Below are 21,236 nucleotides of genomic sequence, written 5' to 3'. Positions count from 1 at the left end.
AAAGAAAAGAAAAGAAAGGAAAATTATTGTGGGTCATGGTCTGAATCTGGCCGGCGGATGTATTTTGTGGGGCTACTGCCATTTGAAGTGTGTTTTTAATTGGTCAAAATTAAAAATTCAGGAGAGATCACATAGAATTAAGATTTTAGGTTTCTCTTAAAAAAAAAAAAAAGCAAAACATATTCTGGCAATGCCTTTCCATGGGGCCCAGTGAGCAGGAACAGAGCCAGGCTGACCCTGCCTCTGGAAGGGGAATATGTGGCTGTCTCACCCAGGCCTTGCACTCCTGGCTATCTGTTGTTTTGCCCTGACAAAGACTCTCCTTATCCAAACTCTGGCCAGGCTCCTCTGAGCCCTTTCTCCACTGGACCTCAATGTTGGCCTAGCAAGAGTTGAGCAAAACACTGACCCAGTTTCTAGCAGCTTAAAGCCACTTCTCTAGGATGTCCCCAGAGGAAAAATGCCTGCCTGAGGAAACTCAAGCTGCCAAAAGAATTACTGACTCCCAACCTCGGTGGGGGCATAGGAGCCTAACTTGGGTAACACTAGGCCCTCATTCCTGCTTTTCATAACTTTTCACTTCCCTCAGTCTACTGAGCCCCTGCTCACTCACTTCACTGCTCCCTCATTCTCTCTTTAAAAACTCCCAGTCACCTCTGTACAAATCGAGGTTGAGCTCAATTCATGCTAGACTCTCTCTGTTACTGAACCACCAGGGTTTCAGTCTCCGTCCTGCCGCAAGCTGCACAGAAAGCCAATGAACTGGGACCACCAGTAATGCCAAGGAAGAAGGCGTTAATCCAGTGCTATGGCCGAGGAGATGGGGACTCAGCCTCAAATCCATCTCCCTGACCCACTAAAACTAGGGGTTTCTATAGCAGGGAGGGAATGTAACAATGTGTAAGAAAACAGGAACTTGGGAGGGCCAAGGAGGCAATCATGATGAATGAAGGGTCCAACTCATTGTCAGGATGTGGTGATCTGGTGAGTTTCAGTTCCCTGATACTTTTTTTGAGCAGCCTGAAGGTCCATTCCTGAGGAAAGAACTCAGATAAAACAAACGTAAGCTTCAAGCTTTAAGACCAGAAGGGTCCATTTCTGTGTCTATCCAAAAAAAACTGGCTGGGTGCGGTGGCCCGCGCCTGTAATCCCAGCACTTTGGGAGGCCGAGATGGGTGGATCATGAGGTCAGAAGTTCAAGACCAGCCTGGCCAAGATGGTGAAACCCTGTCTCTACTAAAAATACAAAAATTAGCCGGGCGTGGTGGTGGGCGCTTGTAATCCCAGCTACTCAGTAGGCTGAGGCAGAGAATTGCTTGAACCTGGGAGGCAGAGGTTGCAGTGAGCTGAGATCGCGCCACTGTTCTCCAGCCTGGGCAACAGAGCAAGACTCCATCTCAAATCCCCCCCTACCCCAACCAACTTAAATGTCAATAAGACTTTTTTTTTTTTTTTAAAAAACAAGGTTGTGCTCTGTTACCTAGGCTGGAGTACAGTGGTGTAATCGTAGCTCACTATAGCCTCGACCTCCTGGACTCAAGCGATCCTCCCACCACAGCCTTCTGAATAGCTGGGACTACAGGTGTGCATCACCACACGTGGCTAAGTTTTTTATTTTTATTTTTATTTTATTTTGAGACGGAGTTTCGCTCTTGTTGCCCAGGCTGGAGTGCAATGGTGCAATCTCAGCTGACTGCAACCTCTGCCTTCCAGGTTCAAGCGATTCTCCTGCATCAGCCCCCCGAGTAACTGGGATTACAGGCACCCACCACCACGTCCAGGTAATTTTTGTGTATTTTTAGTAGAGATGGGGTTTTGCTATGTTGGCCAAGCTGTTCTCGAACTCCTGACCTCAGGTGATCCACCCACCTCGGCCTCCCAAAGTGCTGGGATTACAGGCGTGAGCCACAGTGCCCGGCCTAAGTTTTTTATTTTTAGTAGAGATGGGGTCTTGCTAGATGATTTTTATTAAAGATGGGGGCCTTGTTGCCCAGGCTTGTCTTGAATTCCTGGGCTCAAGCAATTCTCCCACCTCAGCCTCCCAAAGTTCTGGGATTACAGGTGTGAATCACCACACCTGGCTGAATTTTTTCTTAAACACAAGGTTTTTGTAGCAGATAATTTAGAATTACCTGTATGAGAAAACATGCCCTTCTGTGTTTCTTGCTTGTTTCCTTTTTTTTTTTTTTTAGACGGAATCTTACTCTGTCAACCAGGCTGGAGTGCAGTGGTGCAATCTCGGCTCACTGCAACCTCCACTTCCCAGGTTCAAGTGATTCTCCTGCCTCAACCTCCTGAGTAGCTGGGATTACAGGTGTGTGCCACCATGCCTGGTTAATTTTTGTATTTTTAGTAGAGACAGGGTTTCACTGTGTTGGCCAAGCTGGTCCTGAACTCCTGACCTCAGGTGATCTAACTGCTTCGGCCTCCCAAAGTGCTGAGATTAGAGGCATGAGCCACCATGCCTGACCTCTTGCTTGTTTACTTTTTAAGTAATCAATATGACCATGTTTTTTATTCTGTTTAATAAATTCACTTTCTCCTTAATATCTCACATTAAGCCCTAATTTTAGATGGGACTAGATGTGTTATTGTTCTTCTTCCTTCCATCCTTCTGTTCTCAATAACACGAGCAACTCAAGGATACAAGATTAGTATTTTCAACCATCTGCAGTTTTGTTGTCTTTTTTTTTTTTTTGGTTATTACCAATTTTAATTTCAGACCCAAACTTCACTTGATTAAATTTGTTAGAATTTGTTAGAAGCTCTCTTAATGCCTTGCAGAGCAGAACTGGGGTTTCCAAACGAGTGTCTCTGATGTATGTGTAAGCCACAGTCAACAAAACAGCCCAAACTTTCTGGTCCAGTCCAATTTGGCCATTGCTGTATAAATATGACCTTAAGGCTAGAGGCCTTGAAGTTATTTGATTTAGTGCTTAGCTTTCAAGCTACCATAATCCTGTCCTTTAGCTCCCTGACATTTAAAATGCCATTTCACACAGGAAGTCACTTATACTGGTTAGTGATTCTGGCAGAGTAACCAAGCTTTCAAGTTTTTCTTCCCCCTCCCACCCACCACATGATTCCAGGTCTTGTCTGAATTATTCAACCTTCTTTCCCATCTTGCCTTTACCACCTCACTGTTTTATGCATAAATATGGTCTCCGTGCATTGTATTTATGTAATAGATCATTCCCTCAGTCAGTTGCTAAAGATATGAAGAATTTATAAACTAAGACCACGGCCTTCAAGGGGTTATCTTCTGATTTGAGTACTGGTTTGGAGTTTGAATTTCCAAGCCCTGATTAAGGTTGTTGAAGGTGACCACTGTGGTTGATCCGAAACATCCATTCCACCCCAGATGATTAGGCTCTAACCCAGAGCGGCAGCCCTGCTCTCCGGCCTGGTGGGTCAGTTTTAGAATCCGGTGCATGAATTAGTTCTGACAGAGGAGATGAAGGGGAAGTCAGCCGAGGGAGTCTCTAGGAAAGTTCTCTCTCCTAAGAGAGAGTCACAAGAGAAGAGCTTCTTGTTAAATCTAGTGGATTGGAAAAATGCCTCTCATCCAACAGAAGCTCCATTAAAATGCTATAAAAGGCCGGGCGCGGTGGCTCACACCTGTAGTCCCAGCACTCTGGGAGGCCGAGGCGGGTGGATCACAATGTCGGGAGATAGAGACCATCCTGGCTAACACGGTGAAACCCCGTCTCTGCTAAAAATACAAAAAAAAAATTAGCCGGGCGTGGTGGCAGGCACCTGTAGTCCCAGCTACTCTGGAGGCTGAGACAGGAGAATGGCGTGAACCCGGGAGGCAGAGCTTGCAGTGAGCTAAGATTGCGCCACTGCACTCCAGCCTGGGCGACAGAATGAGACTCCATCTCAAAAAAAAAAAAAAAGCTATAAAAGGGATTTGAAATAGTGTAAGTTCACAAGGGCAAAGATGATGGGAGAAATGGACATTTTGGAAGCAAGGAGAGAGAGGACTGATGATTGACCCAATGAATCCAAGAAGGCAGAAACCTCAGCCAGCCATGGAGAAAGGCCTATAGGAAGTCAGGTGGTGTTGAGTACCCCCAGAAAGGCCCAAAAACTGGGGCACCGAGCACTTATGAAATGGGGGTACATGTGGTGATAAAAACGAGAACTTTTCTGAATGTGTGTCCAACAAGCACGAGACCCCAGATCTCCCTTCTTCCTCCAAGCAAAAGAGTAGAGTTCATTCTCTCAAGATACTGAGCCAAAGAGACTTAGGCTGGCTGAGGATGAAGACAGGAAGAGGGTACTATGGTGAAAATAGGGAGATAAAGTGAAACGCCTCGTGTTGAATAAGATCCTTCCCACAGGCAAAACGACTGAGGCACTTGTAGGCACAAAATTTAAGGGAACACCAAAAACTCAGTAATCTAGAGAAGTAACATTCATGCACATCAATTCATATGTTTTTTATTTTCTTTGCTTGTGCTGTTTTTTTTTTTTTTCCCCGAGACGAGTCTCGCTCTGTCACCCAGGCTAGAGTGTGCAATCTCAGCTTCACTGCAGCCTCCATCTCCCGGGTTCAAGTGATTCTCCTGCCTCACCCTCCCAAGTAGCTGAGATTACAGGCACATGTCACCACGCCTGGCTAATTTTTGTATCTTTAGTAGATACCGGGTTTCTCTATGTTGCCCAGGCTGGTATCAAACTCCTGACCTCAAGTGATCTGCCTGCCTCGGCCTCCCAAAGTGCTGGGATTACAGGCATGAGCTACTGCACTCAGCCTCATGGTTTCTTCTTTCATCTCTGATCTTCTTTATGTGATCATTTTCCTCCTTTTGAAGTTACTATAGTGAGGGCCACTTTGTGAACTCTTAGATTTTATTAACTCTTTCTGAAAAATGTCTTCATTTCATCCTGTTTTTGAAAGATAGTTTTACTGGGCCAGTTGTGGTGATTTGCCTGTAATCCCAGCACTTTAGGAGGCTGAGGTGGGCTGATCACTTGAGCTCAGGAGTCCAAGACCAATCTGAGCAACATGGCAAGACACCACCTCTACTAAAAATACAAAACATTAGCCTGGCATGGTGGCACATGCCTGTGATCCCAGCTACTTGGGAGGCTGAGGCAGGAGGATCACCTGAGTCAGGAGGTCGAGGCTGCAGTGAACTGTGATCAGACCACTGCACTCCAGCCTGGGCAGTGGGAGTAAGACCCTGTCTCAAAAAAAAATAGAAAAAAAAAACAGTTTTACTGGGTTTGCAACTCTGGGTTGACTCTTGTTTTCTCTAAGCATTTTGAAGATACTATTCCACCATCTTCTGACTTCTATTGTTGCTGTAGAGAAGTTTACATTCAGTCTAAGTATCATTTCTTTGTTCATGATTGGTCTTTTCTGCCTGCTTGCTTTTGAGATTTTTTTTTCCTTTGATGTTACGCAGTTTTACTGTTGTGTGGATTTCTTTTTCATTATCCTGCTTGGTATATGTAGCCATTTGTGAATCTGATGTCTTTGACAGATTCTATAAAATTTTCACCCGTTGTCTCTTCAAATTTCTGCAACAACTCTCTTCTTTTTATCCTCTCTTTCTGGAATACAAATAAAATGTATTTTAAACATCAAACTCCTGGGTTCAAGTGATCTTTTCACTTCAAGCTCCCTAATAGCTGGGACTACAGATGCATGCCACAACACCCAACTGATTTTTTTTGTAGAGACAGAGTCTTGCTATGTTACCCAGGCTGGTCTTAAACTCTTGGCCTCAAGTGTTCCTCCTGTTTGACCTCCCAAAGTGCTGGGATTGTAGGTGTGAGCCACTGTGCCTGGCCATTGTTTCTCTCCTTAGATCAGTGTTTGACCAAGGATAGTCTGAGAACTCCTGGTAGAAACTGGAGTCTTTGGGGCTGAGACACTGGCATTTGCCCTAATTAAAAGAAAAATCTCGGCCACGCGCAGTGGCTCATGCCTGTAATCCCAGCACTTTGGGAGGCCGAGGCAGGCAGATCACGAGGTCAAGAGATTGTGACCATCCTGGCCAACATGGTGAAACCCCGTCTCTACTAAAAATACAAAAATTAGCTGGGTATGGTGACGCGCACCTGTAGTCCCAGCTACTTGGAAGGCTGAGGCAGGAGAATCACTTGAACCCAGGAGGCGGAGGTTACAGTGAGCCAAGATTGCACCACTGCACTCCAGCCTGGGCAACAGAGCGAGACTCTGTCTCCAAAAAAAAAAAAAAAAAAAAAGAAATCTCCAGGTGAATCTTAAACTCCTATAAGTTTGAGAACCTTCTAGATTTTAAATATATGAGGATACAGATGACTATTATTTGTCTTAGTAACCTTCTCGCTCTACCCCAATCCCTTACATTAAGTAGATACTCTGTGAACAATTTTTAAATGAAAATGGAACATTAAATGTATGTTACCAAAACACAATACATTAGACTGAACCATCAAAAAACTGCCATTTCTGTAGGTCAAAACAGTTGAATAAGCAGCAATTTCCTTTAGTTTGTCAAAAGACAAAATTACAGCAAACAGTTTAAAAATCTAATTGGCTTTTATTTGTGATACTTGAATTGGGCAACACTTTATTCCATAAAATAGAACAAGTGCTCTGATGAGCTAAGCAGAGGAGGCTGGCTTTACATCCAGAAAAGGGCTGAAGAAAGCAGAAACAGAGAACAAAAAGTGAATTGGTCATTTCAATGTTACTTTCCTTCTAAAGATTAAAGCAGAGAGAATTGCTTTATCATGCCGGTTAAAACTGACCTGTTCAGGGATTTGGCTAAACAAATCTCTAATATCTAATCCTTTTGTGTCTGGAATTGGTGGATTCTTGGTCTCACTGACTTCAAGAATGAAGCCGCGGACCCTCGCAGTGAGTGTTACAGCTCATAAAGGAAGTGCGGACCCAAAGAGTGAGCAACAGGAAGCTTTATTGCAAAGAGCGAAAGAACAAAGCTTCCACAGTGTGGAAGGGGACCCCAGTGGGTTGCCACTACTGGCTCGGGCAGCCTGATTTTATTCCCTTATCTGGCCCCACCCACATCCTGCTGATTGGTCCATTTTACAGAGAGCTAACTGGTCCGTTTTGACAAGGTGCTGATTGGTGCATTTACAATCCCTGAGCTAGACCCAAAAGTTCTCCAAGTCCCCACTAGATTAGCTAGACACAGAGCACTGATTGGTGCATTTACCAACCTTGAGCTAGACACAGGGTGCTGATTGGTTCATCCACAATCCCTTAGCTAGACATAAAGGTTCTCCAAGTCCCCACCAGATTAGCCAGATACAGAGTGCTGATTGGTGCATTCAAAACCTTGAGCTAGACACAGAGTGCTGATTGGTGCATTTACAAGCCTTGAGCTAGACACAGAGTGCTGATTGGTGTATCTACAATCCCTTAGCTAGACATAAAGGTTCTCCAAGTCTCCACTAGACTCAGGAACCCAGCTGGCTTCACCTAGTGGATCCTACACCAGTGCCGCAGGCGGAGCTGCCCACCAGTCCCGCGCCCTGTGCCTGCACTACTCAGCCCTTGGGTGATCGATGGGACCGGGCGTCGAGGAGCAGGGGGCGGCACTTGTTGGGGAGGCTGCGCCATGCAGAAGCCCACGGCGGGGGTAGGGGGGTGGGGAGGCTTGGGCATGGCTGGCTGCAGGTCTGGAGCCCTGCCCTGTAAGGAGGCAGCTGAGGCCTGGCGAGAATTCGAGCACAGCGCCAGCGGGCCAGCACTGCTGGGGAACCCGGCGCACCCTCCGCACCTGCTGGCCCGGGTGCTAAGCAGCTCAGTGCCTGGGGCCAGTGGTGCTGGCCGGCTGCTCTGAGTGCGGGGCCTGCCGAGCCGACGCCCACCTGTGGGGAAAAGCAAGAGAGATCAGATTGCTACTGTGTCTGTGTAGAAAGAAATAGACATAGGAGACTCCATTTTGTTCTGTACTAAGAAAAATTCTTCTGCCTTGAGATTCTGTTAATCTATGACCTTACCCCGCAACCCCGTGCTCTCTGAAACATGTGCTGTGTCAAACTCAGGGTTAAATGGATTAAGGGTTGTGCAAGATGTGCTTTGTTAAACAAATGCTTGAAGGCAGCATGCTCCTTAAGAGTCATCACCACTCCCTAATCTCAAGTACCCAGGGACACAAACACTGCGGAAGGCCGCAGGGACCTCTGCCTAGGAAAGCCAGGTATTGTCCAAGGTTTCTCCCCATGTGATAGTCTGAAATATGGCCTCGTGGGAAGGGAAAGACCTGACTGTCCCCCAGCCCGACACCCGTAAAGGGTCTCTGCTGAGGAGGATTAGTATAAGAGTAAGGCATGCCTCTTGCAGTTGAGACAAGAGGAAGGCATCTGTCTCCTGCCTGTCCCTGGGCAATGGAATGTCTCGGTATAAAACCCGATTGTACGTTCCATCTACTGAGATAGGAAAAAACCGCCTTAGGGCTGGAGGTGGGACATGCAGGCAGCAATACTGCTTTGTAAAGCATTGAGATGTTTATGTGTATGCATATCTAAAAGCACAGCACTTGATTCTTTACCTTGTCTATGATGCAAAGACCTTTGTTCACGTGTTTGTCTGCTGACCCTCTCCCCACTATTGTCTTGTGACCATGACACATCCCCCTCTCGGAGAAACACCCACGAATGATCAATAAATACTAAGGAAACTCAGAGGCTGGCGGGATCCTCCATATGCTGAACGCTGGTTCCCCAGGTCCCCTTATTTCTTTTTCTGTACTTTGTTTCTGTGTCTTTTTCTTTTCCAAGTCTCTCGTTCCACCTTATGAGAAACACCCACAGGTGTGGAGGGGCAACCCACCCCTTCACCCACCCAGAACTCACGCTGGTCCCGTTCCTGCCTGTGCCTCTCCACACCTCTCTGTAAGCAGAAGGAGCTGGCTCCGACCTCAGCCAGCCCTGAGAGGGGCCACCATAGTGCAGCGGCAGGCTGAAGGGCTCCTCAAGCATGGCCAGAGCAGGCCCCGAGGCTGAGGAGGCACTGAGAGCGAGCAAGGGCTGCCAGCACGCTGTCGCCTCTCACTTTCTCTCTCTTTCCTGATTTCATGGAAGATCAGAGGAACCAGTTAGTTTTGGCTTGGTGGCATGGAACTTTAGCATGAGTGACTCCATTTTGGTTACGTCTATTCACCCTAATGCAGGAGCTTAGTCTAAACCAACAGCTTTATAATTTTTTTTTCTTCTTTTTTGAGACAGCGTGTCATTCTCGCTCTCACCCAGGCTGGAGTGCAGAGGCACAATCACAGCTCCCTGCAGCCTCAACTTCCTGGGCTCAAGCAATCTTTTCACCTCAGCCTCCTGAGTAGCTAGGATCACATTTGGGCACCACTATGCCCGGCTAATTTTTGTAGAGATGGGATTTTGCCATGTTGCCCAGGTTGGTCTGGAACTCCTGGGCTCAAGCAATTCACCCACTTTGGCCTCCCGAATTGCTGGAGCTACAAGTGTGAGCCACTGCACCTGGCCTAGATTTTATTTAACAGGTTCATTAGTCTTGCTAATTTTCTCATAATCTAATAATTAAAGAAATGTATGAACCATAAGATGTCAAGTAAATTAGACTTCTTAGTTTTGAACCTTTTGGAGAGCATATGGAAACCGCCTAAACATAAAATTAGTCTTAGGTTAATAAATTCCTGAAGTTCAAACTAAAACGTAAAAATGGTTAATAGCATACTCTGAGTTGTAGTAGTCTTTAAAATGTTTATTACAAGCCATGAGAGCATTGAACTAAAAATGAGCACTGAGTTTTGTTTTGGTTTTGTTTTTGTTTTTTTGAGACGGAGTCTGGCTCTGTTGCCCAGGCTGGAATGCAGTGGCACGATCTCTGCTCACTGCAAGCTCTGCCTCCTGGGTTCACGCCATTCTCCTGCCTCAGCCTCCTGAGTAGCTGGGACTACAGGCGCCCAACACCATGCCCGGCTATTTTTTTTTGTATTTTTAGTAGAGACGGGGTTTCACCATGTTAGCCAGGATGGTCTCAATCTCCTGACCTCGTGACCCGCCAGCCTCGGCCTCCCAAAGTGCTGGGATTACAGGCATGAGCCACCACGCCAGGCTGAGCACTGGGTTTTAGAGTCTTGGTGATAGATGCAGGAGGTAGATAAGGTGGAGGATGCGTGGAGAATGTCTGACCTGCCTGCACACAGGGAGGACAGGGTGGAGCCATGGGAAGCTTGTGCCATTTGCATAGGGGAGGAGCCTGGTCTCTTCAGTTTCTGTGTGAAACTGATTGATTCTTGTGTCCTGAAATCAATCTGTGAGGTGTGGGCCTGTTAGCAGGAACCTCTCCCGCTTTGCTGAGAGGTTTCTTTTCTCTTTTAGCAGAACCCAGATTTAGCTGAACAAAAGAGCAGAAATTCTGCAACACTGGGATGTCTAAAGGCACCAAGAATATTCATTGGGGAAAGGATAATCTCTTTAATTTGTGCTGGAAAAACTGGATATCCACATGCAGAAGAATGAAACTAGATTCCTATCTCTCATCATATTCAAAAATCAACTCAACATGGTTGAAAGGCTTAAGTGTGTAAGACCTGAAACTAAAAAACTATTAGATGAAAACTTTGAGGAAACTGTCCAGGACATTGGTTTGGTCAAAGATTTTATGAGTAAGACCTCAAAAGTAAGGAAAACAAAAGTAAAAATAGACAAATGGGATTACATCAAACTAAAAATGTTTCCACACAGCAAAGGAAACAATTAACAGAGTGAAAAGATAACCTGTAGAATGGGAGAAAATATTTGTAAACTATTCATCTAAGAAGAGATTAATATCCAGAATATACAAGAAACTCAAACAGCTCAACACCAAAAACAAACAATCTGATTAAAAATGGGCAAATGAGCTGAACAGAAATCTTTCACAAGAAAATGTGCAAATGGTCAACAGACTATATTTTAAAATGCTCAAAATTACTAATCATCAGGGAAATGCAAATCAAAGCCACAATGTTATCTCACCCCAGTTAGGATGGCTACTTTCAAAAAGATTAAAAAATAAATGCTGGCAAGGATACAGAGAAAGGGTAACTCTTACACACTGTTGGTGGGAATATAAATTAGTACAGCCATTATGTATGGAAACAGTATAGAAATTATTCAAAAAACTAAAAATATAACTATTATATGGACACAGGAGATAAAAAAATTATTTAGGCAGTTAGTGAGGGTAAGAGAGCCCACAGTAAGTCTTCCTTTTTAACAAAAAGCAGCCCCCAAATCATTTCTAACAAAAAGCAGCCTGTAAAATCGAGCTGCAAACATATATAAGTAAGCTGGAAGCTTGCATGGGTGAATGCCAGCAGCTGTGCCAATAGGAAAAGGCTACTTGGGGGCCAGCCATGTTCAACGTGGAGGCTCCACCTTCCCTTTCCTTTTTCTTTTTTTTTTTTTTTTGAGATGGAGTCTCTGCTCTGTCGCCAGGCTGGAGTGCAGTGGCGTGATCTCGGCTCACTGCAACCTCCGCCTCCTGGGTTCAAGCAATTCTCCTGTCTCAGCCTTCCAAGTAGCTGGGACTACAGGTCACATCACCACGCCCAGCTAATTTTTGTATTTTTAGTAGAGATGGGGTGTCACCATGTTGGTCAGGCAGGTCTCCATCTCTTTACCTCATGATCTGCCCGTCTCGGCCTCCCAAAGTGCTGGCATTACAGGTGTGAGCCACCGCGCCTGGCCCACCTTCCCTTTTCTTTGTCAACCACGTGTACGGTAAAGGAACAGGCAACAATGGCCAGCCAGGTAGAGACCCCATCTGCATAATAAAATATTAGGGTGGGGTGGCCAGCTTCTTTGTGCACTATGCAAATGGAAAACCTGGTACAACCAATCTCTCAGGCTCTATGTAAATCAGACACTGCCTCCTCAAGTTCACCTATAAAACCCTGTACATTTCACCATGGAACTGGAAGACCCATGGAACTGGAAGACTGGGAGCCCTAACCTCTCTGCAGGAGAGACAACTTTTCTCTTTTTTTTTTGCCTATTAAACCTCTGCTCTTAATCTCACTCCTTGTGTATCTACGTCCTTAATTTCCTTGGCATGAGGCAACAAACCTCGGTATTACTCCAGATGATCGACACTGCTTCAATATGATCCAGGAATTTCACTAGTCAGTATACAACCAAAAGAAGGGAAACCAATATTGTTACCAAAACACCGGGGATTCAGTCTTGATCCTGCTGCTTACTGCAAAGAAAGCCAATCACTGAGACAACAATTATTGTCAAAGAAGGCTTTAATTGAGTGGTGCAGCAAAGAAGAAGGGAAATCAGTCTCAAATTCATCTCCCCCACTGACTAAAATTAGGGGTGTACAGAGCAGAGAAGAAATGTAACGATGTATGGGAAGACAGGAACTTGGGAGGGGTGAGGAAGCAATCATGATGAATGAAGGGCCTGGCATCTGATTGTATGAATATGGTGACATGGTGAGTTTCAGTTTTTTGATACCTTCTGAGAGGCCTGGGGTCCTTTCCTGAGGAAGGAACTCAAATAAAACAAAGGTAAGTTTCAAGCTTTAACACCAGAAGAGTCAATTTCTATGTTTATCCCCCAAAACTGTCTATGGGACTATTGGGTTGCTTTCAATGTGTTGAAGAGATACCTGTACCTCCATGTTTATTGCAGCTCTCTCATGATAGCCAAGGTCTAGAATCATCATAAGTGTCAATCAACAGATGAGGGAAAAAGAAAGATATACACAATGGAATACTATTCAGCCATAAAAGGAATGAAATCCTGTCCTTCACAGCAACATGGATGAAACAGGAGGTCTTTATTTAAGTGAAATAAGCCAGGCACAGAAAGATAAATACTGCATGCTCTCATTCATATGTCAAAACTAAAAAAGTTGATCTCATAGAAAGAGAGAGTAGAATAGTGTGAATTAGAAGTAGAGAGTAGAGGCTAGGTGCAGTGGCTCACAGCTGTAATCCCAGCACTCTGGGAGGCCAAGCAGGGTGGATCACCTGAGGTCAGGAGTTTGAGACCAGCCTGGTCAACATGGTGAAACCTCGTCTCTACTAAAAATATAAAAAATAAGCTAGGCATGGTGGTGGGCACCTGTAATCCCAGCTGCTCAGGAGGCTGAGGCAGGAGAATCGCTTGAACCCAGGAGGCAGACATTGCAGTGAGCCGAGATTGCACCATTGCACTCCAGCCTGGCCGACAAGAGCGAAACTCCATCTCAAAAAAAAAAAAAAAAAAAAAAGTAGAGAGTAGAATAGAATAGTGGTTACTGGAGGGGATGAGGGTGAGCTAGTGAGAGGTTGATTAATATATAAAATTACAGTTAGATAGGAGTAAGTTCCAGTGTTCTATAGCACTGTAGGATGAGTCAAATTGACAACAATTTATTGTATATTTTCAAATAGCTAGAGGAGCAAAGTTTGAATGTTTCCAACCCCCAAAAATGATAAATATTTGAGGTAAAGAATATGCTAATTACCTCAATTTGATCAGTACACATTGTATACTTGTATCAGCATATCACACTGTACTCTATAAATATGTGTAATTACTATGTGCCAATTTAAAATATTAATAAAAGCACAAAAGAGGTAGGAGGTGGGCTGGGCATGGTGGCTCACGCCTATAATTCCAGCACTTTGGGAGGTTGAGGCGAGTGGATCACGAGGTCAACAGATCGAGACCATCCTGGCCAACATGGTGAAACCCTGTCTCTACTAAAACTACAAAAATTAGCTGGGCATGGTGGCACACCCCTGTAGTCCCAGCTACTCAGGAGGCTGAGGCAGGAGAATCACTTGAACCCAGGAGGCAGAGGTTGCAGTGAACGCAGATCACACCACTGCATTCCAGCCTGGGTGACAGAGGGCGACTCCGTCTCAAAAAAAAAAAAAAAAGAAGAAGTAGGAGGTGAAACTGACTCAATAGTCCCATAGACAGTTTTTTGGATAAATATAGAAATTGACCCTTCTGGTCTTAAAGCATGAAGCTTACATTTATTTTATCTCAGTTTCTTCCTCAGGGATGGACCTTCAGGCCTCTCAAAAAAAGTATAACAGAACTGAAACTCACCAGATCACCATATTCAGACAATGAGATGCCCAGCCCCCAATTCATCGTGATTGCTTTCTTGTGGCTCCCTACTTCCTGTTTCCTACACATTGTTACATTTCTTACCTGCTATAGAAACTCCTAGTTTTAGTTGGTCAGGGCGATGGATTTGAGATTGAGCTCACATCTCCTTGGCTGCAGCACACAATTAAAGCCTTCTTCTGAAACAGGAATTAAAAGAAATTAAAGAATGTGTAAGCAAAAACTCAGTTGTATGTAAAAAAAAACCAATTCCCCCTGAGGAAAAGAAAGAGCTGAAGTCCTTTAAAAATTAATTGCCTGTTTTTCTGTGGCTAGTGAGCCTTATCTCTCCCTTTCCCAGGCATTGTGAAGACCCTGTTTCTCTAGCTGTGCAACTGCAAGGTCACTAGGCAGATAAACTCAAGTCGTAAAACATGTTTTTCCTTGAAAAGTAAGAAATGATGTAATGCATGTCTCAATTGAATAACTGTCTGTTTCTCACTTCTGTAATATGCTTCCCCCTGCACAGATCTCCCCCTGCCCCACAAAATGCTTAAAAGGTAACCGGACTCTTTGTTCAGGGCTCAGTCTTTTTGGATGTTAATCTGACTGGGCCAGTGCACCTAAATAATAAATAATAAGCACCCTCCTCAACCCCTCTGTCTCTCTGATTCCTAAATTATCCTGCTGCACTTCCTTGGCAATACTTGTCCTCTGAATAATCGGCTTTCTGTGCAGCAAGCAGCAAGACCTAGACCAAACCTTGGTGTTTTGGTAACAGATGTCTGGAGTGGATTAATTTAATGCATTTCAATACTTTTCAATTCTTCAAAATATTCTGAAGAAAATACATTAGGCTGGGCATGGTGGCTCATGCCTGCAATCCCAGCACTTTGGGAGACCTAGGCAGGCAGATCACGAGCTCAGGGGATAGAGACCATCCTGGCTAACAGAGTGAAACCCTTTCTCTACTAAAAATACAAAAAATTAGCTGGGCTTGGTGGCACATGTCTTTAGTCCCAGCTACTCGGGAGGCTGGGGCAGGAGAATTGCTTGAACCTGGGAGGTGGAGCTTGAAGTGAGCCGAAATCCGGCCAATGCACTCCAGCCTGGGTGATAGGGTGAGACTCCATCTCAAAAAAAAAAAAAAAAAAAAAAAAAAATATATATATATATATATATATATATATATATATAAATTAGCTGGGCGTAGTGGTGCATGCCTGTAGTCCCAGCTACTCAGGGAGACTGAGGCAGGAGAATCACTTGAACTCGGGACATAGTGGTTGCAGTCAGCCAAGATCATGCCATTGCTCTCCAGCCCGGGTGACAGTGAGACTCCATCTAAAAAAAAAAAAAGAAGAAGAAAAATAAAATACTTAAACAAATTAAAAATAGATTTAGGGTTACAAGTGCAGTTTTGTTACATGAATATATCGCATAGTGATGAAGTCTGAGCTTTAAGTTTAACCATCACCCGAATAGCGTATACTGTACCCATTAGGTGATTTTTCATCCCTCACTATTCTCCCAACCTCCTACCTTTCCGATTTTCCATTGCCTATTTCTATTATTCCAATCTCTATGTCCATGTGTACACATTATTTAGCTCTCACTTAAAAGTGAGAACTTGTGGTATTTCACTTTCTGTTTCTGAGTTATTTCACTTGTAAATAGTGCTGCAATAAACATGTAAGTACAGTTATCTCTTTTTGATATAATGATTTTTTTTTCTCTTTGGCTAGATACTCAGTATTTCATTCAGTGTTGGGATTGCTGGATCAAATGGTAGTCCTATTTTTAGTTCCTTGAGAAATCTCCATTTTCTTTTCCATAGAGGTTGTACTAATTTACATTCCCAGTAACATTGTATAAGCATTCATTTTTCTCTGCATCCTTGCTAACATCTGTTATTTTTTAACTTTTCAATAATAGCCATTCTGACTGGTGTGAGATAGTATCTCATTGTGGTTTTAAGGTGCATTTCTCTCACAATTAGTGATGTTAGGCATTTTTTCATATGCTTCTCGGCTACTTGCATGTCTCCTTTCAAATACTGCCCATTTTTTAATGGAGTTTTTTTTCTTGTTGACTTGTTTTAGTTTCCTGTAGATTCTGGATATTAGTTCTTTGTTGGATGCATAGTTTGCAAATATTTTCTCCCATTCTGTAGGTTGTCTGTTCACTCTGTTGATTATTTCTTTTGCTGTGCAGAAGCTTTTTAGTTTCATTAAGTCCCATTTGTCTATTTTTTGTTTTTGTTGCATTTGGTTTTGAGCTCATAAGTTCTTTGCCTAGGCTAATGTCAAGAAGAGTTTTCCCTACATTTTCTTTTGTTTTCTGAGATTGAGTCTCTCACACTGTCGCCCAGGCTGGAGTGCAGTGGTGTGATCTCGGCTCACTGCAACCTCCGTCTCCCGGGTTCAAGCGATTCTCCTGCCCCAGCCTCCCAAGTAGATGGTGTGTCCGGAATTGGTGGGTTCTTGGTCTCACTGACTTTAAGAATGAAGCCGCGGACCCTCACGGTGAGTGTTACAGTTCTTACAGATGGTGTGCCAGCAGTTTGTTCCTTCTGATGTTCGGACATGCTGGGAGTTTCTTCCTTCTAGTGGGGTTCGTGGTCTCGCTGGCTCAGGAGTGAAGCTGCTGACCCTCACTGTGAGTGTTACAGCTCTTAAGGCGGGGCGTCTGGAGTTGTTCATTCTTCCTGGTGGGTTCGTGGTCTCACTGGCTTCAGGAGTGAAGCTACAGACCTTCGTGGTGAGTGTTACAGCTCATAAAGGCAGTGTGGACCCAGTGAGCAGCAGCAAGTTTTATTGCAAAGAGCAAAAGAACAAAGCTTCCGCAGTGCAGAAGGGGACCCCAGCGTGTTGCCACTGCTGGCTTGGGCAGCCTGCTTTTATTCTCTTATCTGGCCCCACCCACATCCTGCTGATTGGTACAGCCGAGTGGTCTGTTTTGACAGGGCGCTGATTGGTGCATTTACAATCCCTGAGCTAGACACAAAGGTTCTCCACATCCCCACTAGATTAGCTAGATACAGAGTGTGGACACAAAGATTCTCCACCTCCCCACCAGAGTAGCTAGATACAGTGTCGATTGGTGCATTCACAAACCCTGAGCTAGACACAGGGTGCTGATTGGTGTGTTTACAAACCTTGAGCTAGATACAGAGTGCCAATTGGTGTATTTACAATCCCTTAGCTAGACATAAAGGTTCTGCAAGTCTCCACCAGACTCAGGAGCCCAGCTGGCTTTACCTGGTGGATCCCGCACCAGGGCCGCAGGTGGAGCTGCCTGCCAGTTCTGCGAGGTGCGCCCGCACTCCTCAGCCCTTGGGTGGTCGATGGGACTGGGCGCCTTGGAGCAGGGGGCTGCTGCTCGTTCTGGAGGCTTGGGCCACACAGGAGCCCATGGAGTGGGGGAGGCTCAGGCATGGCGGGTTGCAGGTCCGGAGCCCTGCCAAGGCGAGGCAGCTAAGGCCCGGTGAGAAATCCAGCGCAGCGCTGGTGGGCCAGCACCACTAGGGGACCCAGCACACCCTCTGCGCCACTGGCTGGGGTGCTAAGCCCCTCATTGCTGGCCCAGGTGCTCCGAGTGCGGGGCCGCTGAGCCCACGCCCACCTGGAACTCACGCTGGCCTGCAAGCGTCCCGAGCAGCCCCGGTTCCCGCCCACACCTCTCCCTCCACACCTCCTTGCAAGCTGAGGGAGCCGGCTCCGGCCTTGGCCAGCCCAGAAAGGGGCTCCCACAGTGCAGCGGTGGGCTGAAGGGCTCCTCAAGCCCAGCCAGAGTGGGTGCCAAGGCCGAGGAGGTGCCGAGAGGGAGCAAGGGCTGTGAGGGCTGCCAGCACGCTGTCACCTCTTAATGGGATTACAGGCACCTGTCACCATGCCCAGCATTTTTTTTTTTTCTTTGAGACAGAGTCTCACTCTGTCTCCCAGGCTGGAGTGCACTGGCACGATCTTGGCTTACTGCAAGCTCCGCCTGCAGGGTTCACGCCATTCTCCTGCCTCAGCCTCCCCAATAGATGGGACTACAGGCACCCACGACCAAGCCCGGCTAATTTTTTTTTTGTATTTTTAGTAGAGACGGGGTTTCACCATGTTAGCCAGGATGGTCTCGATCTCCTGACCTCGTGATCTGCCGCCTCAGCCTCTCAAAGTACTGGGATTACAGGTGTGAGCCACTGCACCCGGCCCATTTCCTTCCTTCCTTCTTTCCTTCCTTCCTTCCCTCCTCCCTTCCCTTTCCTCCCCTCCCATCCCCTCCCCTCTCCTCCTTTTCCTCCTTTCCTCCCCTCCTCTCCCCTCTCTTTTCCTTTCCTTTCCTTGGTGGAGTCTTGCTGTCACCCAGGCTGGAGTACAGTGGCGCAATCTCGGCTCACTGCAAGCTCCGCCTCCTGGGTCCAAGCGATTCTCCTGTCTCAGCCTCCGGAGTAGCTGGGACTACAGGCGCCTCCCACCAGGCCCCACTAATTTTTTTGTGTTTTTAGTAGAGATGGGGTTTCACCATGTTAGCCAGGATGGTCTTGATCTCCTGACCTCGTGATCCACCTGCCTCGGCTTCCCAAAGTACTGGGATTACAGGCGTGAGCCACTGCGCCCGGCCTGTCTTTTTCTTTCTTTCTTTCTTTCTTTTCCTTCCTTCCTTCCTTCCTTCCTTCCTTCCTTCCTTTCCTTCCTTCTTCTTTAGTTTTTTTGATGGAGTCTTGCTCTGTCACCCAGGCTGGAGTGCAGTGGCACGATCTTGGTTCACTGCAACTTGTGCCTCCCGGGTTCAAGCGATTCTCCTGCCTCAGCCTCTGGAGTGGCTGGGATTATAGGCGCTGGCCACCACACCCGGCTAATTCTTGTATTTTTAGTAGAGGTGGAGTTTCACCATGTTAGCCAGGCTGGTCTCACGATCTGTCTGCCTCAGCCTCCCGAAGTGCTGGGATTACAGGTGTGAGCTACCGTGCCGGGCTCCTTACATTTTCTTGTAGGATTTTTCTATTTTGAGGTCTTACATTTAAATCTGTAATCCATCCTCAGCTAATTTTTGTAAATAGTGAGAGGTATGGGTCCAGTTTCATTCTTCTGCACATAGAAATCCAATTTTCCCAGCACTACTTATTGAATAGGGTGTCCTTTCTCCAGTGGATGTTTTTGTCAGTTTTCTTGAAGATCAGCTGGCTGTAGGTATTAATATATGGCTTTATTTCTGGGTTCTATATTCTGTTCTATTGACTTACGTGACTTTTTTTGAGACGGGGTCTTACTCTATTGCCTGGGCTGGAGTGCAGTGGAGCAATCTCTGCTCAGTGCAATCTCCACCCCCCGGGTTCACGCCATTCTCCTGCCTATGCCATTCTCCTGCCTCAGCCTCCCGAGTAGCTGGGACTACAGGCGCCTACCACCACTCCTGGCTAATTTTTAAAATATTTAGTAGAGACGGGGTTTCACTGTGTTAGCCAGGATGGTCTCGATCTCCTGACCTCGTGATCTGCCCGCCTTGGCCTCCCTAAGTGCTGGGATTACAGGCATGAGCCACCGTGCCCAGCCCTTGTGTCTATTTTTATACCACGGTGTTTTGGTTACTACAACCTTGTAGTAATTTGAGGTCAGGTAATGTGATGCCTCCAGATTTGTCCTTTTTGCTTAGGATTTCTTTGGCTATTCAGGCTCTTTTTTGGTCTCATAAATTTTAGGAATGTTCTCCCTTCCCTTCCCTTCCCTCCCCTCCCCTCCCCTCCTCTTTCCTTTTTCCTTTCCTTCTTTCTTTCTTTCTTTTTTTTTTTTTGATGGAGTTTTGCTCTTGTTGCCCAGGCTGTAGTGCAATGGCGCGATCTTGACTCACTGGAACCTCCACCTCCCTGGTTCACGCAATTCTCCTGCTCAGCCTCCTGAGTAGCTAGGATTACAGGCATGCACCACTGCTCTTGGCTAATTTTGTATTTTTAGTAGAGATGGAGTTTTTCCATGTTGGTCAGGCTGGTCTCGAACTCCCAACCTCAAGTGATCTGCCCACCTTGGCCTCCCAAAGTGCTGGGATTACAGGCGTGAGCCACCATGACCAGCCAGATTCTTTATTTTAATGTCTTGGTTGGGGAGGTCTCGGTAGGCCCCTAAGAAGAGTCCCTGCCTTGTCTCAAGAGGGGCAGTTTCTAGCAGATAGCTACGCAGCCCTTCCTAAGAAAATTGCCTTTATTTGGAACAGAGCTTATTACAGGTATCTAAGAGCATTGTCCAAACCACTAGAGATTTACATGATAAGCAACTAAGAGGAAATGAAACAGCAGACCAGCTAGAAGTTTACCAGGGAGAACCAGAAAAAGAGATAGCTAAGAAGAGCCCTGCTAAGGTCAAAGCAAGCTTCAAAGCCTGGCATCACCCTGACTTTAATTAAATTAAATCATACTATAGAGCAACTTTTGCCCCACTGTACTGTCAAAAACAATATATGAATTAGCCAGCAACTAGTGCATGCTAACATCTGGGTGTCATTCTTGCTGAGTGCGTGACCAGCCAGAGGTTAACTGTGAGATCAGGGGAATAGACAGCCTTTTCTTCTCTTAACTGATTTTTAAAACAGTTGCAAAAGTGTATGTACATAATTGCATTGTTGGTCCTGCAACAGATAGAAATATAATATATTTGACATTAATAGCACAAAGAGGCTGGTGAGGACAAAGCTGTACTAAAGTAAGGCTAGGATTCCAGATGGTCACTGGACTCACAGAAACAAATGGAGAGGAACAGAAATGATAAATCAGAAGGTTAATATAACAAACTATAAATGTACACTTTACTTTCTCCTTTTGGTTTCCATAAAAGACATAAAATTATATAAAATAATTATAATAATGCATTGTCAGGTTTGTAACATATATACACATCATATGCATACCAGTCATAGCACATATAAAGGGAAGGAAGACGTTCTAGATATTTGCTCTACAGCATAGTGCCCATAGTTAAAAATATGATGTTGTGCTCTTAAAACTTTGCTAAGAGGCCGGGTGTGGTGGCTCACGCCTGTAATCTCAGTACTTGGAGAGGCCGAGGTGGGTGAATCACTTGAGGTCAGGAGTTCAAGACCAGCCTGGCCAACATGGGGCAAAACTGTCTCTACTAAAAATACAAAAATTAGCTGGGCGTGGTGGTACGTGCCTGTAATCCCAGCTACTCAGGAGGCTGAGGCAGGAGAATCACTTGAAC

The 21,236-nt window shown here is 45.6% G+C and overlaps 3 annotated features.

Moving 5' to 3' along the window:
- Positions 382–541: an enhancer, noted in NCBI's record as "active region_27317". NCBI's record gives its function as "activates an Ori minimal core promoter by ATAC-STARR-seq in GM12878 lymphoblastoid cells {active_cell/tissue: GM12878}" and the evidence as "EXISTENCE:reporter gene assay evidence [ECO:0000049][PMID:35858748]".
- Positions 9,653–10,487: an enhancer, noted in NCBI's record as "H3K4me1 hESC enhancer chr8:42649154-42649988 (GRCh37/hg19 assembly coordinates)". NCBI's record gives its function as "activates a minimal SCP1, AML or CMV promoter by ChIP-STARR-seq in naive H9 embryonic stem cells {active_cell/tissue: H9 hESC(naive)}" and the evidence as "EXISTENCE:reporter gene assay evidence [ECO:0000049][PMID:30033119]".
- Positions 13,772–14,031: an enhancer, noted in NCBI's record as "active region_27316". NCBI's record gives its function as "activates an Ori minimal core promoter by ATAC-STARR-seq in GM12878 lymphoblastoid cells {active_cell/tissue: GM12878}" and the evidence as "EXISTENCE:reporter gene assay evidence [ECO:0000049][PMID:35858748]".

Source organism: Homo sapiens, chromosome 8, assembly GCF_000001405.40.
Source record: "Homo sapiens chromosome 8, GRCh38.p14 Primary Assembly".
In the NCBI taxonomy this organism is placed as follows: Eukaryota; Metazoa; Chordata; class Mammalia; order Primates; family Hominidae; genus Homo; species Homo sapiens.
Note: the sequence above shows the minus strand (reverse complement) of the source record. Positions and strands in the feature narration are given on the sequence as shown.